We start from the raw sequence: 26974 nt of genomic DNA on the forward strand, positions 1-26974 counted from the left end.
GAGAGCTTGTCTCAGTGTAGCAGGACAAGCCGCAGACAAAACCCCTCAGACACTGAGTTAAAGAAGGAAGGGCTTTATTCAGCCGGGAGCTTTGGCAAGACTCACGTCTCTAACAACCGAGCTCCCCAAGTGAGCAATTCCTGTCCCTTTTAAGGGCTCAGGACTCTAAGGGGGTCCGTGTGAGAGGACCGTGATCGATTGAGCAAGCAGGGAGTACGTGACTGGGGGCTGCGCGCACTGGTAATTAGAATGGAGCAGAACAGGACAGGGATTTTCGCAGTGCTTTTCTATACAATGTCTGTAATCTATAGATAACATAACCGATCAGGTCAGGGGTGGATCTTTAACTACCAGGCCCAGGTGTGGCACCGGGCTGTCTGCTTGTGGATTTCATTTCTGCCTTTTAGTTTTTACTTCTTTCTTTGGAGGCAGAAATTGGGCATAAGACAATGTGAGGGGTGGTCTCCTCCCTTATCAGGAGGGAGCTAAACACGGGAGCAGTGACACGGCCAGCAATGGGCAGGAGGGGAAGTTGGGGTGAGGGCAGGTGTGCATGAAACACAGGCTGAAGGAAATGATGTCTCCACATGTTTGATGGAAAACAGATTCACCAGGGAAGAGAAAGCCAATGGGAATCCAATGAAAGGGTCTTGGGCCAAGCTCTGTGGTGTGGAAGAAATGCAGCTCTGCAGCAGGGGGATTCAGTGAGCACAGGACCTGCACCCAATAGGAGACTCATCACAATTAAATTACCTGTTATAAGGCTGTGATAAGACAAACAAGAACTTGGTCAAGATGGTGGCACTCAGTGAAATTTGGGGGAAGCCAAGGCTGGAAGTAGCCACTGTTTTACTTCCAGGAATTGAAAATAGGCAAGTTTGGAAACAGGAAACTCTAGCATTTTAGATGTAAGGAGAATCAAATAGAAATTGTTGGGTTTTTGTAATATTAAAGTAGAACATGACTTTGTTGAGTATAATAATTATTTCTGTCATATTTTCCCCCCTAAAATACTGAAACTCTGGGCTTAATGAGGCCAGTAATTGTCAGCCAAGGAAATAAGACAACAGGCTGAAAAAAGGCAGCATCAGCACTGGCACAGTCCAAGCACTTTCTGGGAGGTATGCTAAACTGGTCTAGGGTTACTTGGAAATCTTCAGCCCCTTCTGTTAGTCAGGGACAAATGAACTAGAGCACCGAGGGTGAAATATACGAGTGGTTGACTTAGACACCCTGAGAGGTGTTGAGAAAAGTTGTGTTTGGTAATTAATGGAGAAATGCATTTGTGAACCTGTTTATCAAATTCAACTTTGGATTGAAGAAGTACACCGAGTAGCTTCACTTAGCTGCTTTTTACTCAAATCAACAAATATTTGTTGAACATCTTTTGTGTCTAATGTGTCAGTCAGTGACCTGGATTCATAGTTGTGGATGAAGGATGCATAATACTCCATAGTTCCCATTTCCAAGGTGTTTACCATCTGGCTGGGGAGAGAAGACCTGGACATGTAAAAAGGAAACAGTGAAAAGTAAGCGATGTCCAAGGCAATACTAGAAGAGATGCTCACAAGGCATAATTAATTGCTAAAGGAGTTGTGAGGATAAATGAACACTTGAAGCAAAGAGTGGTCATGGTCAACTTTTAAGAAGAGGACACAAGTTAGGTTTCAATTTTTTGCCTTTTGTTTTGTTTTGTTTTGTTTTGTTTTGAAACGGAGTCTTGCTCTGTCACCCAGGCTGGAGTGCAGTGGTGCGATCTCAGCTGACTGCAACTTCCACTTCCCAGGTTCAAACGATTCTCCTACCTCAGCCTCTGAGTAGCTGGGAATACAGGCATGTGCCTTAACACCCAGCTAATTTTTGTATTTTTAGTACAGATGAGGTTTCACCATCTTGGCCAGGCTGGTCTTGAACTCCTGACCTCAAGTGATCCACCCACCTCGGCCTCCCAAAGTGCTGGGATTACAGGCATGAGCCACCTTGCCCAGCCCATTTTTTTGGCTTTTTAAAAGTCAAGGTTATTAAGATATAATTTACACACAGTGAAATGTGCCCTTTTGAGGTGTATAGTATGCATAGTGTATGGGTGTATAATGTGGCTTGATGACTTTCACAAATACATAGCTGTGTACAGTCAAGATAGGGATTTTCCATCACCCCTAAAGTTCTCCCCTGTCCCTTTGTACTCAGTTTCCTTCCCCTCTCCCAGCCCCTATTTACCACTGATCTGATTTCTGACTCTGTAGTTTTGTCTTTCCCAGAATGTCATACAAATGGAATCAAACAGTGTGCAGTCTTCTTTGTCTGGCTTCTTTCACTTACATACTGCTTTTAAGATTCATCCGGCCAGGTGCAGTGGCTCACGCCTGTAATCTCAGCATTTTGGGAGGCCAAGCTGGGTGGATCATTTGAGGTCAGGAGTTCGAGACCAGCCAGGCCATCATGGTGAAACCCTTTCTCTACTAAAAATACAAAACTTAGCTGGGTGTGGTGGTACACACCTGTAATCCCAGCTACTCAGGGAGACAGGAGAATTGCTTGAACCCGGGAGGCAGAGGTTGCAGTGAGCCGAGATCATGCCACTGCACTCCAGCCTGGGCAACAGAGCAAGACTCCGTCTCAAAAAAAAAAAAAAAATTCATCTATGTTGCCACATATCTCAGTGGTTTCATTCCTTAGGATTACTGAGTTGTGTTCTATTATTATAGGGATGGACTGCAGTTTGTTCATTAGTTCCCCTGCTTCTTTGAGCTAAGTTTCAAAGGACAGTAGATTTAAATGGTCAGGAGAGAGGGGAAATGGGATAATTGGAGGTAAAATGGCATAAGGCAGAACAGAATGAGCCACTGAGGTGTATCCTGCTTCTGGGAAGAATCAGTAAATCAGAGAAGATGACTCCTGGATATGAGGCTTCATCTGCATTTTTATTATAAATGAATCCAGCTCAAGCCTTATCTCCTCCTTCATACTTCAACCTGCAGTAATTTCTCCCTACTCTGAATTTCTATTCATGTGTCCATTCTTCACCCATCTATTCATCTGTCCATCCATCCATCATTGATCCACCCATTCTTTCATCATCTATTTTATTTGTCCTTCATTTAACGACCTTTGTTTCAGGTCACCAACGTGCCAGGCACTGACTCACGAACAGGTTAAACAAGTTAAAAATCATAATCCCTTTCCCCAAGAAGTTCTTAGGAATCTGCTGGGGGAAACAGCAAGAAAGGTGAAGCTAATAACAGTAACTGTATACTGCTTTACATCATTGTTTTACTCTCCATGTGTGTCCTTGGGGGCAGGAAGCTCACCTTGCCATCTACTTCAGTGCCTTGAATATCATAAGAGGTCAACAAGTACAAAAAATAGCTAAAGCTGCAGCATTGTAGCTTAGTTTTGGCCTTTGGAAAAGAAAGAAACTTACATGTATGGATGCTGACGTTTTTGCCCTTCCAGGAGGCCATACAGAGGCCGTACAGAAGGAAGGCCACAGTGGGGACTCTTGAACAGGCTGTCTTGAGTGGATGGAGGGTTCAGGGAAAATCTCAGCATGCAACAGTTACGTTTTCCTCATCAAGAATATGCGGTTGAAAAAAATGATTTGGAAAATGCCAACAGGCATCTATCACACTTTGATATAAATGCATGCATATAAAAGTCAAACTATCAGATTCCTTTGCACAGGTGGATGGGCAAAGGCAGCCAATTTGTCGCTGGGTCTGCTTGTTTAGTGCTGAGCTGGTGCAATGTGATAGTGCAGTGAGCTCAGCCCACCCTGGTCAACAGAAGCTCTCCGGGGCTGACCTCACACGCAGCAATAGATAATGAGCACCACCCCTCAAGTGCCTGATACACTAGTCAGAAGAACTTTCTGTTTCTTTGGTGCATACTGCACCTTTCCTTTGCACATCAGCACATGTCTGTGAAAATAATTTAAAATCTAAGCTGTTGAAACTTTAAATTATTTTGAGCCTTAAGGGAATGTGATTTTGGGACCCGAGTCATGTGACAGGCAGTTGTAACCTAGGAGCTGTAACCTTAGTTTCTCTGATCATAGATTGGCCTTCTTCCTTACCTATATTGTTTTGTAAAATGTTGTAAATGACTAAACAGTCCCATGGAAGACCTCTTCCCTCTCCACTGTTGATCTTCAGTGTAAAATTAACTTCCCTCTTTGCTCCCTCACACAGACTTCATGAGTATCACACAGTCTAAGGTGGAATGTTAAATATATTCTTTTAAATTAGAAAAGAAATCAGAAGGCTTTCAGAAAAGAAAACAAACTGTAACTAATTAAATTATTGTAACTCATAAACTAGCCTTTTATAAAAAAATTTTGTAATCCTGTTAAATTTCTTTGTTTTCTTCTTACAAAAACAAGACCTTAACTTTGAACTTCAGAGCAGTGACCCCATTTCTCTGGAGCATGTGTTTCTAGGATGCCAATTTACAACTTTTTGCTTGAATAAACTTTTAAAAACTGGATTCTAAGCCGGGCGTGGTGGCTCATACCTGTAGTTCCAGTGACTTGGGAGGCTGAGGCAGGAGGATTGCTTCAGGCCAGGAGTTTGAGACCAGACTGGGCAAAACAATGAAGCCTCATCTCTACAAAAAAAAAACAAAAAAGAAAAATGAACTGGATTCTGATCCTTTTGATTATTTCAGGTTGACATGTCCCTCCAAACCCAAATGTCCCCTTTTCCCTGGGACCCTTCATGGTTGATAAAGATTGATAAGCTTTTCTTTCCCTGAGCCATATTGACACTTTATCTGTACCACTTTTTAGTTCATGGATACTTTTTTTTAGCCTTCTCAAATTTATTTACATACTTTTTTTTTTTTTTAAGACAGAGGCTTGCTCTGTCACCCAGGCTGGAGTACAGTGGCATGATCATAACTCACTGCAGCCTCAACTTCCTAAGCTCAAAAAATCCTCTTGCTTCAGTCTCCTGAGTATCTGGGGCTACAGGCGCGTGCCACCATGCTTGGCTAATTATCTTTTATTTTTTGTAGTGATGGGATCTCACTATGTTGCCCAGGCTAATTTCAAACTCCTGGCTAAGTACTGGGATTACCAGTGTGAGCCACCTCACCCAACCTATTTACATACTTTTTTTATTGTTGTTTTTTGAGACAGGGTCTCACTCTGTCACCCAGGCTGGAGTGCAGTGGTGCAATCTCAGCTCACTGCAACCTCTGCCTCCTGGGTTCAAGTGACTCTCCTGCCTCAGCCTCCAGAGTAGCTGGGATTACAGGTATGTACCACCATGCCCAGCTAACTTTTGTATTTTTAGTAGAGATGGGGTTTCACCATGTTGGCCAGGCTGGTCTTGAACTCCTGACCTCAGGTGATCTGCCTGCCTCGGCCTCCTAAAGTGCTGGGATTACAGGCATGAGCCACTGTGCCCAGCCCCTATTTATATACTTTTTGACTCCTCTATATAACTTACAGCATCTTAGGAATCTGAGGTTCATTTTATGTTGTGCATGCCTTGACTATAATACATGCTCAGTACACATTTATTGACAATCTGACATAAGACAGTGGGGTTAGCTGGGAAGGGTCCAGAGTTCTGCATCAGGTAGACTGAGGTTGAATCTTGAACATTGATCATGGGATCTTGGGAAAACTATGAAACTTATCCAAGACTCAGTGTAGTAACCTATAAAACAGGAATATTATCTTAGGATCAATGAGAGGAACTGCAAACTGCCTAGCTTTTGATAGTTATTCTATAAGTACTGTTTTATTGTCCTGGTTGTTTTAAAAAAATGAAGTGAATGATCACTGTAACTGTCATCACCTTGTAAGTGCATCTTTAAAGCAGGTTGTAAAGATTCTGATGGATGGTTTCAGTATTTTAGGTGGAGTTTACAGCCTGTAGATGAGCTTGGCTTGTTCTCTATAGTGTGATTAGACATGTCTGCCTGTTCTGGCCATTGGTAGGCTGAGAGTCTAGTGGAAGGAGAGCTCATTACTGGCTAGCAGTGATGCAGGGAAGTTGGATTCAGGCAGGCATCAACAAAGATGTTGCTCAGGATAATTCATTAAGACATAAACTTGCTTTGTGTAATTTTTGGTATCTGTGTTTTACTTAACAATAGAAAACAAAATAAAAGAAGCAAACTGAAAACCAAGACAAAATAAAACTCCAAGTCTAACTAGGATGTGGCAGGCTGAATCCAGGCTGTGCCCCCGAGCCTGAGGGGCAACCAACCAGAAGAGGAAGATAAAGACAAAGCAGGAGGCGGCAGAGACCAATTGCTGGCCGGATTGATGACATAGGTCAGATCTAGGCTTGCCAGGCCTGTGAAGGGGACCATAATATGTCACCCTGAAATATGCCTTTTGGACTAAGGGTTATTTTGAGCTGAAGGCAATTAAGAAACATCAGATGCAGAAAGGAAAAAAAAAGGCTTACTGTCCTTCCCCTATCTGGCTAAAAACAGAACATAAATTTCCATTTGTAAAAGTGTCTCCCTCTCCCATACCAGAAAAAGCACAATAACTCTTCGTCACCTGAGATGACTAGAGTCTTATCAGCCCAGAGCAGTGAGTGGAGCCTGCATGACAAGCCTTACTAAAGCAGCCTTATCTTCCATTAATTTCCCCACATATTTACCCTCCCACAATTTATTGCCCTTAGAAGCCTTCCCTTTTCCTTTGTCTTGTCACAGCTTCACAATTTATCATTCTTTGTTGAAGTAGTATGTAAGCTCTCTAGCCTATGTACTTCTTTGGGTCTCTCTCTATATACATACAAAGACTCTATGTCTTCCTAAAACTATGATGTCAAATAAAATTTGCATGTCTTTTCTTCTCTTCATTTGTCTTTTTTCAGTTTGATTAGCAGGGCCCTCGCTCCTGAACCTAGGATGGTAGAGGGGCAGGGTTTTCCACCCACTATTGGCATTCTTCTGGTCATCCCTCAGTAGGCTGCTGGTCCATCTGCAATGTGTCCACTTAGTTACCAAAGCCAGAGATCTTGTCTTGGGCCTGAGGGGGCTTCTGTCTTTTTTAAAAATGCCTTGAGACTCTGCTTGTCATCCTCACCTTCAGTTCTGTGGCTTGTAGGGGTCAAGGGAAAGCTTTCCCTTCGCCCTCTGAAAGTTTGCTGAAAAAATCTACTCAAAAAAGGCAGATTACTTGGAGAAAAGGCATACACATTTATTAACGTATACATGGGAGCCTTCAGAATAAAGACCAAAAGATAAAGGAAAATTGTCCATTTTTATGCTTAGGTTTAACAAAGTATGGAGAGCCAGGAAGAGAGATGATTGGACAGAAAAGGTGCAATCATAGCTCACTGCAGCCTTGAACTCCTGGGCTCAAACGATCCTCCCAGCTCAGTCTATTGAGTATCTAGAACTACAGGCATGTGCCACCATGCTTGGCTAATTTTTGAATTTTTTTGTAGAGATGGGGTCTTGCTATGTTGCTCAGGGGTGTCTCAAACCCCTGGCCTCAAGTGATCGCCCTGCCTCAGTCTTCAAAAGTGCTAGAATTACAGGCACGAGCCACTGTGTCTGGCTGATCCAATTTTTCTTTCTTTTTTTTTTTGACGGAGTCTCACTCTGTCCCCAGGCTGGAGTGCAGTGGCGCAATCTCAGCTCACTGCTACCTCCGTCTCCTGGGTTCAAGAGCTTTCCCTACCTCAGCTTCCTGAGTAGCTGGGACTACAGGTGTGCATCACCATGCCCAGCTAATTTTTTTATTTTTAGTAAAGAGGGGGTTTCACCATGTTGGCCAGGATGGTCTTGATCTCCTGACCTCGTGGTCTGCCCGCCTTGGCCTCCCAAAGTGCTGAGATTACAGGTGTGAGCCACCACGCCCAGCCCTGATCCAATGTTAATAGACTGAGTGGGGAAACCCAGCAAGGCCTGCCTGTCTGGATTCTTCTCGTTCTCTTGGAGCAGCCTATCTTCCTTCTTGGTGTGGAGTGGGATCCTCTCTGCAATGAGGAACTTAGGGCCTACAGTCAAACAAGGTAGGTCAGATAACTTTCTTATGGCCAGTTTTTACACAGAAAGAGGAAAAGTTAGAGTGCTTTTTTTAGGTTTTATGGCTGGCCTTGGGGAAAAGGGGTTCTAGTTTCTATGACCTACCTTGAGGAAGAGGGATTCTAGTTTTTATGGCTAGCCTGGGGGATGATGGGACTGAGAGACAATAGGGCAAAAGAAGGTCAGAGAGAAACTTCTGCTTCTGAGGCCTTGATTTTAGGGTATTGTTTTCTCAGTCCCAGCCGGCTTCTGTCCTGGCTCTTACCTCTAGGAACATGGCCTAATTTGCCCTTGACCCCGGGTAGCCTGCAATCATGAGGGTGCTCTTGGGTGCATTACTATCTTCATGTTCCCAATCTTTGCTCTCACGAACTCTATTTTGGGGCTGGAAATTTCATGTTTTTAACACTGACTCTTAGTTGTGGGCGAGCGCCTGCCACTAGCAAGTATGCATTTCCTTTCCTTTCTACTTTCAGGCTTTTCAGACACATCTATTGCGGGGAGGACTCTAAAAACTTTGCCAATATATGCAATGTTATCAATCCACTGGCATGACTGTGGTGAGACAGAACACTCACACAGCAAGCTTTCAGCAAAGCAGCTTTATTACTCACAGATAGGCAGCAAGAGATGGTAGAAGCCTGGGCCCATGGCGGACCAGTCCCTCAGGGTTCAGGAAAGCTGCCCAAGGCGGATGGAGTCTTGTCTTTGACACCAAAGGCGTGCCCCTTGGTGGGGGTGGGGGTGGCTGTTTTCGCTGAGTTAAATAAAGCCTTGCTGGACATCCTGTTCTAGGAAGACGGGAACAGAGCCTAGGCTGTTCTGGTCAGTGCCTCCTTATCTCAGGTTGTCGCATTCCCAGCACATTCTCCAGTTGTCCTTAGGAACTACCAGTGAGGAGGGGAAGAGCTGGGTCTCCAAGGCCATGCAGACAGTTGTCCTATAGCACCTTAGAAAAAGGCTTGTCTCCTTCTTATAGGACCTGGTGAAAGTCCACATGAATTATCAAAACCATCAATATACTGATATTTTTCTGTCAAGTCATAAAACACCAGCCTCTATGAACAAGTGGTTGAAATCCTGTGACGCTCAGGTCCCTTTCAGCCTGCCTACTCTGCTGCTGCTGGCCCATGACCACAACTTCCTAATAAGGCGTGGAGGGGTCCTCTCTGCTCCTCACCCACCTTGACTCAGTGCACAGTCACACTCCAGGACGGGCTGCTTGCAATATGGGTCCATTTCTGGGGACCCATTTTTCTCTTCACTGGGAAACCCTGAGAATTTTCCTTTACTATTGGTCATTATGCTTTGTTGAGGAAAAAAGCCAGACTCTGTAAAATATTTGAAAAGGTTTATTCTGAGCCAAATGTGAGGATCATGACCTGTGACAGCCTCATCAGGTCCTGAGAACATGTGCCCAAGGTGGCTGGGTTACAGCTTGATTTTATGCATTTTGGGGAGCTAGAAGTTATAGGCAATGGCATAAACCAATACATATAAGGTGTACATTGGTTTGGCCAAGAAAACTGTGACATCTCAAAGTGGGGGCTTCCAAGTCATAGGTGGATTCAAAGATTTCCTGATTGACAATTGGTTGAAAGAGTTCAGCTTCACCTGAATTGTTGAAGGCAGCGGGAAGAAATGCATGGGTTAAGATAAGGGGGATTGTGGAAGCCAAGGTCCTGTTATGTAGATGAAGCCTCCAGGTAGCAGCCTTAGGGAGAATAGATGGTAAATGTCTCTTATCAGAACTTAAAAGGTGTCAGACTCTTAGTTAATCTCTTGGATCAGGAAAAGACCTGGAAATGGAAGGAGATTCCTTACAGAATGTAAATTTTCCCCACATGAGATGGCTTTGCAGGGCCATTCCAAAATATGTCAAAAAAATATATTTTGGGGTAAATACTTTGATTACCTTTAGAGCCTGTTATCTGTCATGTGATGCTACACCAGAGCAGACTGGAGTTGGGGTCTTATTGCTAAAAAGAGTCTATTTTGTCAGTCTTTGGATCTCTACTTTAATGTTAATGATGGTCATTTGCGCCTAAACATCAAAAGAGAGAATGTATAATGAGGTATGTCTGACCCCCTCCTTCCTATCATGGCCTGAGCTAGTTTTTCAGTACTTCTTGGAATCCCCTTGGCTGGGAGGGGATCCATTCAGTCGGTTGGGGAGCTTATAATTTTATTTTGGGGTTACAGCTTTCATATGTACAATTACCCAGTTGTGATCACTGTGGGCCATCTGGTGCATGGGGACAGCCCTTGCTCCCCCTGGCTCACTGCTGTGTCCCTAGTGCTAGACATACAGTAGATGTTAATAAACATTGTTGACTACATGCCCTGTACTAAAACTTCTGGAAACACAAATTTGAATGAGACTTAGTCCCTGTCCTTGAGGAACTCAGGAGGGGAGGAAGGTGTCTGCAGAATTATTTCCAATACAACATGATAAGCTCTGTTAAGAGCTATCAGTGAGGTTGAGAAGTGGCAGGAAAGAGAAGAGCATCCTTCTCACCAGGTATGAGGGTGACCAAGAAAGACTTCATGAGAGAAAAGGGTGCTGTCTGCCGTAAAATGTTCATCCATAACTGAAGTAATGCATATGAAAAAAAAATAATACAGGTGGCAGACATAAATTTCAGGCTCTGTACATATGTATAATAAGATATTTTTACTACTATTACCCTTTTCCTCTACTTGAAAATTTGTGGCAGTTTACAACAGTGATCACGAAATGCCAATCTGTGGACTGGCAGAAGCACGATCCCAGAAGGCAGGACCTGGGTATCTAATCTGCATGTGTAAATAACCAGCTCTAAGGAGGATGTGATATACCACCCAGTGTGGGGACTGCTGGGTATGGCAGTGGTTCTTACACTGAAGCATGCACTGGAGTCACTTGGAGGCTTATTAACATGCAGGTGGCTGTTTCCCACCCTCAGAAGTTCTGATTCAGGAAGTCTGGGATGGGACCAAGAATTCGCATTTCTCACAAATTCTCAGGGGATGCTGCTGCTACTGTTGCTGGTCTGTGGCACACTCTGAGAATCACTGGTGTATAGTAAGATCCTGATTTCTTAGTGGTTCTTCTTTTTTTTTTTTTTTTTTTGAGACGGAGTTTCGCTCTGTCGCCCAGGCTGGAGTGCAGTGGCGGGATCTCGGCTCACTGCAAGCTCCGCCTCCTGGGTTCACGCCATTCTCCTGCCTCAGCCTCCCAAGTAGCTGGGACTACAGGAGCCCGCCACCACGCCCGGCTAATTTTTTTTTTGTATTTTTAGTAGAGACGGGGTTTCACCGTTTTAGCCGGGATGGTCTCGATCTCCTGACCTCGTGATCCGCCCGCCTCGGCCTCCCAAAGTGCTGGGATTACAGGCGTGAGCCACCGCGCCCGGCCCGTGGTTCTTCTTTTTCTTCTCCTTCCTCTTCCTCCTTCTCCTCTTCCTCCTTCTCCTCTTCCTCCTCCTCCTCTTCTGCTTCCTCCTCTTCTTCTTTCTTCTTCTCCTTCCTACTCTTCCTCTTCTTCTCTTTCTTCCCTTTCTTCCCCCTCCTCTTTCATCTTCTTCTTCTTCCTCTTCCTCCTCCTCCTCCTCTTATTCTTCTCCTCCTTTTTCTTCTTCCTTTTCTCCTTCTCTTTCTCCTTTTTCCTTTTCTTCTTTCTTCTTCCTTTTTTGAGGAAGCCATCAGAGCTCACTGCAGCCTTGAACTCTTGAGCTTAAGCCATCCTCCCACCTCAGCCTCCCAAGTAGCTGGGTCTACAGGCACACACTGCCACGCCCAGCTAATTTTTAATTTTTCTGTAGAGATAGGGTCTTCCTATGTTGCCCAGGATAGTGTGTGAACTCCTGGGCTCAAGAGATCCTCCCACATCAGCCTCCTAAAGTGGCTGGGATGAGAGGTGTGAGCCACCACACCTGGTTTCTTGGTGCTTCTGAGGAACACAGCATTCCACATAAATGACTTATCTGGATAACTAAAGTTTATCTCTCCAAATGCCAAATCTTTGTTTCTTTAGGTCATATTAAAAGAACATTTACTGAAATAAATTTTCCACTTCTTTGCTTTCTTTTTTTCTTTTATTGATACATAATATTTTATATATTTATGGGGTACATGCGAGTGTTTGTTACCTGCATAGAATGTGTGATGATCAAGTCAGGGCATTTGGGTTCTTCAACACCTTGAATGTTTGTCATTTCTATGTGTTAGTATCATTTCAAGTCCTCTCTAGTTATTTTGAAATATACACAATATTGTTGCTAACACTTCTTTGCTTTCTTAACCAGAGGATTCTGAACACCACTGAATCCTTTCCCGATGACTCCGGATTATTCTAATGCACATCCATTATGGTTCTGCACAGTAATACATAGGGTGGGTATTTAAACCATTTAACACCAGACAGCATGAGGTCACACCAGTGAACACAGACTCTTGCTGTAACGGTGCAGAAAGGTTCTTGGGCCTCCTATGCTGTGGCAGTTACTGGCTTACGGGAAGGCCTTGAGGGTTGTGGGAAAGGGTCTGAGAAGGCCGGCATTGTGGGACCACAGAAGGCCTTGGGACAGTGGCTATTTATCACTATGTGGAAGCATTTTGATATTTCAACAACAGGAAGGATGTATTATGCATGTCAGCCCTGAATACACATTGGTTCTGTGACTGCCCACTTAACAGGAAGTTTTTGTCTAGTGTTTCTTTATTACCAAGTCTTGGGGAATCATTTATAGCTAACTTCTTCTCTTCATTCGTAGAATAACTGCCAGGCACTCTGGGTTTAGAGGAAAATGAACCAGATGTGCAGTGAGTGTGCGGCACAGCTCGGAAATGAGACACGGTCCTTAACTCCTCCGAGACGCAGCACTCTCAGTAAAATTTGAATACATTCTTTTCCTTCCAGTATTGCAGAATAGTGAGGATAAAAGTGAAAGAGGATGCAAAAGCCCTTTAAAATGTGCCATTTAAAATGAGTATTGGGCAAATGAAAAGGATTGTTATGATTTTTACTGAAAGTGTTAAAAAGAAGTGGCATTTCTTAAATATTTTCAACCTGAAATAGTATACTGTAACAAATGCTGATATCAATCGAGTTATAAATTGAATCTGAAGAAAGAGCTAGCAGCAAGATTACTAATAAATGTTTGTTCTCGGGCTGTGGTAAGAAGGCTCTTGTTTCCTTTAAGTGGCAGCCAAAAGCTTTTTTTCTCTGAAAATAACCATTTTTCATTATTATTCTCCTGCTTCAAGCTGTTCTTTTTTTTAGCAATGAATACAATCAGGTTAGGTTGTGAGTGACAGAAATAAGTGCTTGTTGGTTCAGGAGGGAAAAAGCAGTAGATGTGTCCAGTATTCATGGGGTGCACATTCCAAGACACCCAGTAGGTACCGGAAACCTCGGATGGTACCGAAATCTATAAACACTATGCTTCTTCCTGCACATACATACCTATGATAAAGTTTAATTTATAAATTAGGCACAGTAAGAGATTAATAACAACAATAATAAAATAGAACAATGATAATAATATACCAACATCACTACTGTTGTGCTTTGGGGCTATTATTATTTAGAGAAAAGGTTTCACTCTGTCGCCCAGGCTGGAGTGCAGTGGCATGATCATAGCTCTCTATAGCCTTGAACTCCTGGGCCCAAACGATCCTCCCTCCTCAGCCTCCCAAAATACAGAATATGGACATGAGCCACTGCACCCAGCCTGGGGCCATTAGTAAGTCAAATAAGGGCTACTTGAATCCTAGCACTGTGATACCACGACAGTCAATCCACCAAGAAGACTCCTAAGTGACTAAATGGGCTGGCTGGGAGCATCCTTATCGTGAATTCGCTGGATAAGGGGATGATTCACACCCTAGGTGGGAAGGAGCAGGATGGTGCGAGATTTCATCATGCCACTCAGAACAGCATGCAGTTTAAAACTTATGAGTTGTTTATTTCTGGAATTTTTCATTTAATATTTTCAGGCCATGGTTGACTGCAAGGAACTGAAACTGCAGAAAGCAAAACGGTGGGTCAAGGCGGCTCTTGTATATGAGAGCAAGGTGTCAGACACAAACAGGCTTCATGGACACTTGGCCCTGCGTGTGTTAGGGTATGAGTATCTTTCTGCATGGATGAAAGGGCAGGATGATTTTAAAGGTCCTTTAAAAATAGCATCGTTTCTTTTCTTCTGTGCTGGTGTGCCCTGGCACTGGCTCCTGGGTCAGCACCAAATCAAACATATGATTTATTGGTTCAATCTAATTCTTTCTTTGCCTGTTCAGCAGGGTATAGCTGAGTCAGACTGGGCTCCAGTGAAAAAGCCCCTCATGGAAATATGGTTGCTATAGTTTGAACGTTTGTGTCCCCAGTGCAACAGTATTAAGAGGTGGGGTATTTAGGAGATGATTTGGCCCTGAGGGCTCCGCCTTTGAGAATGGGATTAATGCCCTTATGAAAGGGCTTGAGGCAGCAAGTTTGCCCTGTCTTAGTCTGGTTGGGCTGCTATAATGAAATACCTTAGACTAAGTAATTCATAAGTAATAGAAATTTATTTCCCACAGTTCTGGAGGCTAGGAAGTCCCAGATCAAGGCACAGCCAGATTCAGTTTCCGATGAGGTCCCTGTGTCTGCTTCAAAGATGGTGCCTTCTTGCCATGTCATCACATGCAAGAGATAGAAAGGAAAATAGGATGGACTCATTCCCTGAATCCCTTTTATAAGGGCACCAGTCCTCTCCATGAGAACAGAGACCTCATGACCTAACCATCTCCTACAGGCCCCACCTTTTAATACTGCTGCATTGGGGATTACATTTCAATACGAACTGTGGAGGGGACACAAGCATTCCGACCACAGCACCTCTTTTTGCCTTTCCACCATGAGAGGACACGGCAAACAAGGCACCATCTTGGAAGCAGAGAGCAGCCCTCACCAGACACTGAATCTGCAGGTGCCTTGATCTTGATCTTCCCTGCCTCCATTACTGTGAGACCTAGGTTTCTATTTATAAATTACCCAGCCTGTGGTATTTTGTTACAGCGGGAGGAAGAGACTAAGACAAAGGTCCCAGATGGGTTTGCCTGGGAAAATGGTTGTTCCCAGGCCAGTCCAGCTTAGTTTATAATATTGAGTTAAATCAGGCTTGGAAAGTACAGCAATGTACTGTGCTAGAGAAAAGTACAGAAAATTCTTTAAAGAGAGAATTCAAGTTGAGTTGTGGATCCTATCTCCAGCTTCACTGGGACCTCACTGAATGACCTCGAATACATTTTCAATTCCTCTGCATCCAGACTTTTCATTCTAGGCCAGCTTTCTAGATCAGGAGATTAGGTGGTTGCCTCTATCTGTGTGGCAGCCATACTTTTTCCAGAACACAATAGGAACATATGGTCTTGAAATATTTTTTCTAACATATATTTATTTTGAATGGAATGTTGCCTGGCCTGCCAACTTAATTCCTTGGTCCCTCATTGCAGCTATGGCACTTGGAGATCAGTGGTTTAAAAGAGTAGATGACTCAAAGTTGGGAGTGTCCATGAAAATCCAATGCAGATAGTTGCTATAATCAATACCAAAATTATCGGTTTGCTTTATTTATCCCAGGTAAGATAAATCCTAGAAGTATGAAGGAGGGAGGGGGCTGCAGGAAGGGATCCATGCATTCATTCACTCATCCATCCATTTGAATGTTTATTGAATACCTGTTCTATGCCAGACACCGTGTTAAGTGCTGAGGATGTACTGGTGCATTAGGTATAATCCTTGCTCTCATGGAACTTATGGCTCAGTGGGAGACATGGGCTGATTGGTAAGTGCTTCAGCAGGGAAAGTAGAGGAAGCACACAGGAAAATCACTGAGACTCAGAGGCCAGAGCAGGCTTCCTGAGGGGAGTGGTCTTAAGACTGAAGCCTCAGTTATGCAGATAAGGAAGCTGGGGGTGGCAAGCATGACCAAAGCCAAGGTGACCAGAAGCCTGGAGATGTGTGAGAGCTGGGGAGGAGAGCTGGAAGCATCCACCTGGCTGGCATTTGTGGAGCAAGGCAGAATTGACTGAAAAGCTCAGCCTGGTTAAAGGATTTGAACTTCACCTGCAGGGTGGTGAAGATCCTTTGGAGGATGTGACCGTGCCACAATGAGATTCACACTTGAGGATTTTGGCCCTGGTTCACCGTGGAGAGTGGCTTGGAGAGTGGTCATAGTGAGGAAAGCATTCAAGGAGAGGAATAAGTGGGGGAACACCCAGGGGAGTGGCAGTGAGGGTGGTGGGCAGTGGATGTGCATCTGAGAAACTTGATCCATGTGGAAAGGAGGGAGAAAGAGGAGGCGAGCGTGCTGCTCAGATTTCTGGTTTGCGCAACTGGGTGGGTGCAGAACGCGGGAGGAAGAGCAGGGTTGTGTAGGGATAATCATTTTTCTTTTTTGGCTGTGCTGATTGAGGTGTCTGTGTGGGGGAGGGCAGGTGTCCAGCAGGCAGCTGGATCTGAGGGTGTGGTGCTGGAAGGTGAGAGACTGGAGAGTCATCAATGGGCACTCGTGGGAACTGATGTTCTAGTGATGGAAGAGTAGCCCTGGGAACAGGGGAGGCGAGGAAAAAGTGCCCTGACCAGAATTCGGTGAAACCTCAACATCTAAGGGAGAAGCAGAGAGAGGAAGAGAAAGCTAGAAATGCCACTGAGAAGTGGCCAGAGCGCTGGGGGAAAGCAGAAGAGGGTGGTCTCTTGGAAGCACAGGGATGGCCGAATTTCAAGTCGAGTGTGCTCAGCAGGGCCAAACGCTGCCGGGCTGGTCAGATGAAGGCTGGCAAAGGGTGTTTGGGTTCAGCAGCAAGAGGCTGTTGGAGACCTTGATGAGAGCAGCTCCCTGGAAGGCTCAGGACAGAGGCCTGATTACAGTGCAGAAGGAGAAGAGGAGGGAAGGCGCAGATGCGAAAGTGTAGACAGCACTTTCCAAAAGCTCAGCTTCAAGGGGAGGGATGGGAAGAGGCTGCTGAAAAGTTGATCCGAGTCCAGCAAATGGAGTCCTGAAGAGAAATGGGATCTACCGCATATGATGAGTCATGGATGCCCTTATGTATCCAGTTAAATTAGAATGCACAGACATTTAGCATTAAAGCCCATCTCCCTTCATTCATTTTTTTCTGGGAGTCCCCCAGGTCTTCTTTCTGAGTATGGCCCACGTATCTCAGCCTCCCAGCAGGTGTATCCTCCCTCGCTTCGGACCTCTCTCCTTGGGGTACTCCCAGCGTGCTCTCTTGAGACCCTAAAGAGCTTATGCAGGACCGGCTCCCTGGGCAGCCAGGTACTGCCCAAACTTGTAACCTGCCTCTCCAGGAGAGTTTGACAAACCAACAAATAAAGCTCATTCAGGGCCACACCTTCTGGATCATGAGTTTTGAAAAAATGGACAAAATCCTAGATATCATGTATTAGAAACAAAGTGTTAAGATATAGCATTATATACACTATTGTGCTATGTTTTTAGGCTAGACAGTGCCTTGCACTTCAAAGTGCACGTCCTAGGCAGGAACATTCTGGGGGAAATGGAAAAAGCGATTTATCCATAGGCACACAGCCTTCTCTGCTTCCCCTTTAACTCTTTTTTTATTCTCCCACTCATGTCTTCTCTCAACCTAGCTTCTGGCATGTTGAGTCATTCATCCATTCACTCATTCATTTATTCATTCATCAAAAATATTTTGAGGACTCACCTTCCAGGACATGATTGGCACTAAGAACTCAAAGATGGGTAAATCAAGAGTTTTGCCTGATAGGGGCAATATGACCTGTTCCAGTGGTCAGGTCTATGCAAACTTACCCCCAAATTCTGAGGAAGCAGAGACGCTGAAGAAAGAGGTTGACATATACAGTTTCTCAGAAAGAAACATTTAACAGGGACTTACGAACAGGAGCCATGCCTCTGTTTCAGGTGGCAGAGAGATGGTGGCATCCCGGTGCTATTATCCTTCAAATCCAGGGCTTACAGACTATAGGGGACTGGTGGTTCAGAAGGGAGGTGTAGGCAATTGAAGTATGATAACATAAGGTTGCTTTGACCTAAGGGCAAGATTTATGGTAAGTACCTGCTCTTACAGCAGAAACAATAGGTAAACTGGAAATCTTAGAGGCCTTCCCTGAGCAGGAGTTAATCAAAAGCCAACATGGTAGGTTAGCTCCCAAGGTGGAGGTGGAGTTGCTTTTGCTTCCACATGGCCAATGCTCTCATAGGACTATGCATACACTACAGTGAGAGCCCAACAGAGGGCACTCATATATCTGCCTGGGAATGCAGAAAGGACAAGGAGGGCTCACAGAGGAGGTGACATCTGAGTCTAGCCTGGAGTTGGCTCTCTCCAGGTGGCTGGCATGGAGACCATGTTTGGGGTTGGAATCTCCTGCCTCATCTCCCTCCTGGGGATCCACCTCACTTCCGGAAGGCCAGCTCTTGAGTAGGGATTGCTGAACCAGTTTTGTTACTCTTCCCAGAAAATATGTTATCTCTTCCAGGTCAGATACTTATATTTCACAAACCGTTGTATAGCTAATGCCTCAGCTCAAGCGGTGGCTTTCATGTGGGCCACTTTCTTAGGCTGGCAGATGGCCATGTCTCTCAGATCGTCAGGCCACCAAGGTAGCGTCCCCTCTCCATTGGCTCCAGCCTGTTACCGCTGCTTCCAGATTCTGGAGACAGCAACAGCATTGCTGAGAAAGGACACTTACCTGGCAGTGGTGATTTTAAGGGCCACTTAAAGATACCACGGTTGGGTTGAATTAAGAACCGCAGAAGAGACTGCCTAGATCTCAGATGTTGTGATGATATTCTCAGTGTCCACCCAAGGTTTCATGAAAGAAAAGATTCTATCATTAAATCTAATCAAACTAGGAAAACTGCTGATAAGTACCAAGGCCTGCAAGCCAAGGAGGAAAGCTGTGCAGTTTGGGGGAGGCAAGACAGACTCATTCTTAAAGCTTCATCATTTGGCTTCTTTCCCAGCCTGTACCCAGAATCTTGAGGAAGAAAAAGGCTAATTGAATTTTTGCTCCCTATGAAGACCCTTCCTCACTAGTAAAAGTTAAAACCCAGCAGACAAGGAAGCAATTTTAAAAAACCAAACTCTTCCAACTGTATGTATTTTGGAAAGTGCAATTTGCATCAGGTATGGTAATACTGAAACATAATCTAAATGAGAAACTCATATCCCAAATATTCAGTGAAGTCAGTAAAGAGTAAGAAAAGATGCTATCTTCCCACTACCTATAATTTCCCTCCATATTGAGGCCTAGGGAAGTGGTTATGAGCTTGACAAGTAGGGATTATTTGATTTTGAGGAGGATTATAAAAGAGCTTTATGAGGAAAATGATGAGCAGCTATTAAGAGACTGCACATGAGGAAACAATGGAAAGACCTAGAAGAAAGTGGATTAAAACTGAAGAGGATATTTGAGGGGTTAAGAAAGACTTCCTCCCTGGGTTTTGCTGGGGAGATCTACATGGGTTTCCAAAGGCGATTGCAGTCTGTCTTTCTGTAAGTGGAATAAATCAGCAAACATGCCTTGGATGGCATCACATCAGTTCTGTGGGAGATACCAGGGAGCATAAGACATGAACTCCCACCTACGGGAGGCAAGGGGAGGGACAGCATTAGGACAAATACATAATGCATGCGGGGCTTAAAACCTCGATGACGGGTTGGTCAGTGCAGCAAACCACCATGGCACATGTATACCTATGTAACAAACCTGCACATTCTGCACATGTATCCTGGAACTTAAAGTAAAAAAATATATATATATTTGACATTAAAAAAAAATGTGGCTGGGTGCAGTGGCTCATGCCTGTAATCCCAGCACTTTGGGAGGCCAAGGCAGGCAGATGACGAGGTCAGGAGACCAAGACAATCCTGGCCAACGTGGTGAAACCCCGTCTCTACTAAAATACAGAAAATTAACCGGGCATGGTGGCTCCCGCCTGTAGTCCTAGCTACTTGGGAGGCTGAGGCAGGGGGTTTGCTTGAACCCAGGAGGCGGAGGTTGCAGTGAGCCGAGATTGTGCCACTGCACTCCAGCCTGGTGACAGAGCAAGACTCCGTCTCAAAAAAAAAAAAGCTTGTGCAGGATCCCAGGTGAGTTAGCCCTGCCCTTCTGGGTTCCCACAGACAGGATGGTGAGCAGTGAAGACTTGTACGCAGTTCCCTGTGGCAGGCTCATGCACACTGATGTGTTAATCTTGTTGAAATATACTTTTCTTCTGTCTTCTGTCAGTGGATGTTTATTCGGTAACTAGGTTTTAATATAATGAGGTAAAAATTTGCAAAGTATTGTAGTAATGTCTTATTAATGAGTTCTATTTATAGGTGATCTACACTAAGCCCTAAACTCTTTACTTTCCCAAAATAATCTTGGCCTTATTTTAAAAGACTGTTTATAGTTAGAGACTCCTCAGATCTCTTATGCTTTGGGACCACTTTCTTGGTTCCTTGCTCAGCTAGTTCAAGGAAACTAATTTTACATCCAATAATTTTAATTTCTGATTGTAGATGCAGAACAATATTATGATCCTCTTGGAATGCTGCAAAAGGAGCAGCTTAAATATGGAAATAATGAGCTTTCTGCAAACATGCAAAGAATTATAATAATAGTTAGAGAAATAAAGCATTGTTGTGATGCTTGATTTTAGTACCTTCAATTATAGTTTGCAAATTCATAGGTCATTTCATGGAATTGTTATTTGAATATCTTTCTTATTTTTCTGTACTAGTATGCCCTTTTCTATTTTGATCTTTCTGTAAAGCCCTCTTTTTTTGCAAACAACAATTTCTGAAAATAACACTATTGGCGAGACCAGCAGGCCTGCTTTCATCTCTTCTCAGCCCTGGTACATGCTGTCTACTGAAGTATTGACTTAAAGTCTGCAGGCTCAGTAATAATGTCTATTGTGTCTATTTACGGAAAATGAATTTTCTGGGCCTCATTTCCTTTCAGGGAGAAAGGGAATAATTATGGACATTTATATATCACCCTGAGCATAATTGTGTTGAAGCAGGAAAAATAGAAAACAAAAAGACAAGATCCTGGACATCCAGGGCTCAAGATCTAAGATGTAATATTCCAAATATCATAGCAAATAGCCAAGCCAAAATATGAAAGACATGGCAAAACAGGTAACTTGGAAGAGTACATGGGAAAAGTGATTCAAAAGAATGATAATATCTTCTTTCACATTCTTGTATGGATTCATCATGAGCTTCAGACAGAGCAAAAACACTGTATCAGGCACCATGAAGCTTAGTCAAGTGTGGTACCTCCCCAGAGAGGATAACTAGGGAAAATATTGAGAATTTTTAAAAAGTTGATGTACATCAATGAAACAGGAGATGCAGGCTTGCAATCAGGAAGGATCACCTGCCTTTCAAGTTTTGCCAGTAGAGGTAATAGAATTTTTGTATTGCAGTGACACCTAATTTTGTACTGCAATGACACCATAATTACTTTTATGGCAGATAGTCGTGGTTAGGGTATAGTCTGACTCCCATCAGCCATTAGAGAAATGTAGCTATCAGAAATGAGATGAAATGATATTAACTCTCCAATGACATTGCACTCACAGTTATGTGTGCTGCCTTCCAGTATTGGCTGCTTTTTAATGTGTGTATGTATATAGAAATATGTATGTGTATGTATTTGTATACACAAATATACATATTTTTGTATGTGTATTCAGAAAATCATTCTCCTAATGGGTTCAGCCATTAGGAGAATGATTTTCTGAATACATCACATACAACGTGTGCTCAGCCTTCTGCACGGCTCTTGCTGTAGTGGTTTGGTTTACCACATAAACCCCATTAGCGTCTCCCATCAGCCATGGCACTTACAAGTGTAAAAGAATTTATGTAGACAGTCCGTAGTGGTTTTTTTTCCCCCTTATGGTAAAGTGTTCTCCCTCCAGTTTCTGATTATTGAATTCATGTTTGTCTTCAAGACCTTCGTCAAATGCTATTTGTTCTGGGAAGCTTTTCACCTTTTGTTCTGTCAGAATGAATTTAACATTTCCTCAAAGCCCCAGTGGCATCTATTCCTACATAGAAGTTAATTCACTTGCTTCTGCTGTCATTACATACCTGCTTCTCCCACTGGATTTTAAGTTATTTGAACTCAATGACCATATCTTATTCTTATTTGTAATCTCAGTGCACAACACTGTGCATGGTGCATGTCAGTTCATTCTAAACAAAGTAAAAGGATTAGTACCTTGTACAGCAGATCTTATTAAATCAACACAGTTTTTCAGTACTCCTGTGAGCAAGGCCCTGCGTAAGGGTCAGGTGTTCTGCTAAGCTTTGCAGTAAGGGCTGGAAGAACGTGCACAGAAAGCTTCCTCATCCATAAATGGGATGGTCTGAAGATCAAGTCACTTGTATGTTCAGTGTCTAATGTGAGATAGGTGCTCAGTCTACAGTAACCATAGCTGTCACTTGGGAATTTCTCTGTTGGCTGTTGACTGAGCCAACATCATCCCTGGAATTTCACTTTGAGAGTTTCTCTGAACTGATTCTACTCCCTTCTAGGCCTGCAGCCTGCTTCCAAGTTTTCACAACCACTCCTTTAACCATTTTCCTTTGTTCTTGCTATCAAAACCTTCGTATAACCAATCCTGTTATGTTCATCCAGTTTTTCTGCTGTTTTTAACATCTCTGTTCCCCTACTGACTGTACTCCAGGAGTTCTGGGCTCTTAATCTCTCAGGTAGGTCCTTCCCTTTTCCTTTCTCCTGGAAGCAATTCATTATGACAATATTAGCAAAAGATGATGGTTTATTTATAATGTTGTCAAACTTATAAAATTTTTACAATCTTCTTTTAAAACTAGCTCTATACTAGGGATATACCATACTATTCATAAGTTTTAAGGAGGGTGATCTCTTTTGCAAAGACTAAAGGTTTTTCCCCTGCTGCAGCTCATGCTTTGTCCTACTCAGCCAGAAGGAGAATATCAGGTGTGTTTCCACATGGTTGCTGGTTCCTGAGAGGTGGCTAGTACTGTGAGAGGAGACCTGGATGAAGAGGGAGAATCTAATGTTTGCTTCATGGCTCCCAACTTATCAGGTTACATGAGTTTTCACAAATCACTTAGCTTTCTCAGAGCCTTAATTTTCTAATACATAAAGCAGGAATTATAGTCCCTGCCAATCTCAGAGAGTTGTCTATCTTGTCAGCAAAAATGTTTTATATTGTTGTTAGGAGACTGAGAAGACTGGCTTAACAAATTAAGTGTAGCCATATAATGAGGTGCCATAGCTCTGTAGTTCACTGCTCTGGGAAGATGCTCAGAATGTATTGTTTTAAAAAAATACTGCATAATTCCATTTTATGTTAAAAAGTGCATGTTTATTTGTGTACACATACATACACATACATATTTATATATACATACATGCATTAAAAATTGGCCGATACTGGAAGGCAGCACACATAACTGTGAGTGCAATGTGATTGGAGAGTTAATATCATTTCATCTCATTTCTGATATCTACATTTCTCTAAGTGGTAGGATTCTGGGTGACTTTTACCTTTTCTTTTGCAGTATGGAAAACAAATTAATAAAAAGAACTTTAAATCTTCCTGCCCAAACTCTTCTCCTCCTAAAACTATCTAAATAAAAATGCAGTTTTTGTCTTCCTGTAATTCTGTCTCTTCCTGCGTCAGACCTGTACAGATTTCTTTTTAGCTGTAAAGATTTGTAGGGAATGTTGACAATAGTCTGGATGAAAATACAGACTACTTTGTAAACAGAAAGTTCCTTTGGCCGGGGGTGGTGGGTGCCCCTCTCAGAGACAGGCAGGCATCCTCCAGGAGGGGGACAGGTATAGGCTGGGTCGAGCTGCTTGGATCATGTAAATGAACAACTCTATATAGGGATGCTTCAGAGGCAGAAGTACCAGGGAGTTATTTAATGATGGGCAGCAGTTTATCTAATGATTCCTGCAGGATACCTAGGATGCCATAAAGCAGTATTCAAGAGTGAGAAATTGCTTATTCTATAAGGTCTACAGCTTAAGCCACCATATTTGGGGACTGGAGGCTAAAGGGATTTATCTTCCAAGCAATAACTTTGTTTCTGATGGAGGGCACGCATCTGATTGTTTGGAGATCATCTGTCTTCTATAGCCACAGGCTGTGCTCAAACTATATTAGATGCTAAAATAATCCAGTTAAGGAAAGCAGAGCTCAAAACACCTACTATCCACAGAACCACTGGCCAGGTGGCTGCCGAAGGACTTATAAGAAGGGCCTTCAGGCTTCTTGGAAGACTTCTTTGGGAGCAAAAGGTGGAGAACATCTCCCCTTAGGCCTCGTGCATCTAGTTATAATGGTAAAAAGGAGGTAGGGGCCTAGGAAATGGGGGAATCATAGATTCATCACAGAGCAGCAAAGCCAACTGGTCACCCACCAGCCTGTTCCTTCTCTGACCCCACAGTGTCCAGGTAGGACCTACATGAGCATACCTCAGTAATACCAAATGGATCAATTTTTTTTGGGGGGGGATGGAGTCTTGCTCTGTTGCCCAGGCTGGAGTGCAGTGGCACGATCTTGGCTCACTGCAACCTCTGCCTTCCAGGTTCAAGCAATTCTGCCTCAGCCTCCTGAGTAGCTGGGAATACAGGTGTGTGCCACCACACCTGGTTAATTTTTGTATTTTTAGTGGAGACGGGGTTTCACCATGTTGGCCAGGCTGGTCTTGAACTTCTTACCTCAAGTGATCCACCCACCTCGATCTCCCAAAGTGCTGGGATTACAGGCGTGAGCCACCGTGCTGGCCCTAAAGGGATCAGTTTGTAAACTCAGTAAACCAAAACAAAAATCTAGCTTTGTGCTTGATTTTTTGGTGCAGTACTGCAATAGAAGTAATTCTTCTAGTAGTTTTGGTGAGAATATCTTTTATACTTGTAGTCAGACTTTTTTTTCTTTTTCTTTTTCTTTGTTTTTTTTTTTTTTTTTTTTGAGATGGAGTTTCCCTCCTGTCGCCTTGGCTGGAGTGCATTGGCATGGTCTTGACTCACTGCAACATCCACCTCCCAGGTTCAAGCGATTCTCCTGCCTCAGCCTCCCGGGTAGCTGGGATTACAGGCGCCCACCCCCACACCTAGCTAATTTTTGTATTTCTAGTAGAGACGGAGTTTTGCCATGTTGGCCAGGCTGGTCTTGAACTCCTGGCCTCAGGTGATCTGCCCGCCTTGGCCTCCCAAAGTGTTATTTTTCCAAAGACTTACAACCTTAATTGATAATGAGATAATCTAAGTTAAAATCTAAGTGAGCTTAGTTGCTATTTCTGATTCTGATTTATCCTTAAGTGTAGTGTGGAGTTCAAGCCATTCTGTTTTTTCCTTTTTAATGGGAATCTAGAGGCCAGAAGGGTAAGTTACCAGCGATTTAGAGGCCAAGGAGGTGCAGGACAAAGGTCTTCTTCCCTGGAGTCTGTCTTCCATCGCTGGCCAAAGACCTTGTCATCATTTCAGGAGGGCTCTTTATTCCCTTAAAAGCTGCTCTATTTTATTCTTTAACAATCCCCTGTTTTTTTATTTCTTTGATGACTGATGAGGTTTATCATTTTTCCATGGATTGACTGAAAATCTTCAATAGTTGGTGGCTCTTTTCCTGCCTTCATGAGGGCAGCGGAGTGAGCGTGAGGCGTGGTCAGTATCGGCCATGTGGGGTGATGATGATCAGAGAGTAGAACCATGGAGGAACCTTGGTGATCACTAAGCCTGACTTTCACTCCCAGATTAGGAAACCGGGACCCACAGAGACCAGATGACTTGTCAATAACTAGAACTGTGATTACAACCTGGCACTTGACTCCGTGACTATCTTATCACAAGGGCTGTGGTGTTTTTTTTTTTTTTTTTTTTTTGAGTCAGAGTCTCGCTCTGTCGCCCAGGCTGGAGTGCAATGATGCAATCTCAGCTCACTGCAATCTCTGCCTCCCGGGTTCAAGCGATTTTCCTGCCCCAGCCTCCCGAGCAGCTGGGATTACAAGCATGTGCCACCACACTTGGCTAATTTTTTGTATTTTTAGTAGAGATAGGGTTTCACCATATTGGCCAGGCTGGTCTTGAACTCCTGACCTCAGGTGATACTCCCTCCTTGGCCTCCCAAAGTGCCGGGATTACAGGTCTGAGCCACCGTGCCCAGCTGGGCTGTGTTTCTTAAACAGAAGTACTCATCATAATAAACTATATAAGTAAATGTAATAAATTTTAGGAGATTAAGTTGGCTGTTCTCAACTACAGGACCTAGTCTGGAACGTCATACTAACCAGTCCCTGGATGTACTTTACGTGTATGTCACTTTCCCACAAGTTGAGTGCCTTCATCTATTCAACTGAGGTTTCTTAAATATTAATAATCCCACTCATAGTATTAATTCCAAACTGCAAAGTCTCAGAAGTACACATGATGCTGAATTTCATTGCCCAAGTTGTGGTTAATTACCTAGTGTATACTTCATTCTGAGAGAATTGCCCTTCATTGCTATTTGCTTATTTTCCCTTCTTTTGTGCTCACCCCATAACCCAGCTATCATTCATCTCTTCATTAGTTCCTGTCCCATGCTTGTGGCACAGGGTCATGCAGAGCAGGTGCTGGGTAAATACTTTACCAGGGGAGCACACACATTGCCCATTTGCCAGAGAAGAAGCAAAAGAGCATGATGCTTTTGCTCAGGGAGATGGTATAGAGAGATGGTTTCGGAGAAAAGTGGCGTTGAAAGCCAACTGAGACTGTGACAGCAATGAGAGTTTCTAAGCTTTTGCATTAGAATAACATTTTCACCACTACAGATCCAATAGCACAGAATGTTATTCACTGTCACGTTTGCCTATGAACATGGTTGGATGTCTTGTGGGTATATTACAGTTAGCATATCCTCCTCCCCATGTACTCTCCATGCATCCAGTATGTGGCCCCAAATCTTGGGGCAAT

The 26974-nt window shown here is 43.6% G+C and overlaps 1 protein-coding gene across 7 annotated transcripts in view, besides 2 other annotated features; it reads left to right on the plus strand.

Annotated features, from left to right (window-relative positions):
- The window catches only part of ATP8A2 (ATPase phospholipid transporting 8A2), a 653878-nt gene that overhangs the window by 16330 nt on the left and 610574 nt on the right, over window positions 1–26974 (plus strand). The window lies entirely within an intron of this gene.
- Window positions 9000–9601: an enhancer, noted in NCBI's record as "NANOG-H3K27ac hESC enhancer chr13:25971441-25972042 (GRCh37/hg19 assembly coordinates)". NCBI's record gives its function as "activates a minimal SCP1, AML or CMV promoter by ChIP-STARR-seq in naive H9 embryonic stem cells {active_cell/tissue: H9 hESC(naive)}" and the evidence as "EXISTENCE:reporter gene assay evidence [ECO:0000049][PMID:30033119]".
- Window positions 9602–10203: an enhancer, noted in NCBI's record as "NANOG-H3K27ac hESC enhancer chr13:25972043-25972644 (GRCh37/hg19 assembly coordinates)". NCBI's record gives its function as "activates a minimal SCP1, AML or CMV promoter by ChIP-STARR-seq in naive H9 embryonic stem cells {active_cell/tissue: H9 hESC(naive)}" and the evidence as "EXISTENCE:reporter gene assay evidence [ECO:0000049][PMID:30033119]".

This window comes from Homo sapiens, chromosome 13 (assembly GCF_000001405.40).
Source record: "Homo sapiens chromosome 13, GRCh38.p14 Primary Assembly".
NCBI lineage: Eukaryota > Metazoa > Chordata > Mammalia > Primates > Hominidae > Homo > Homo sapiens.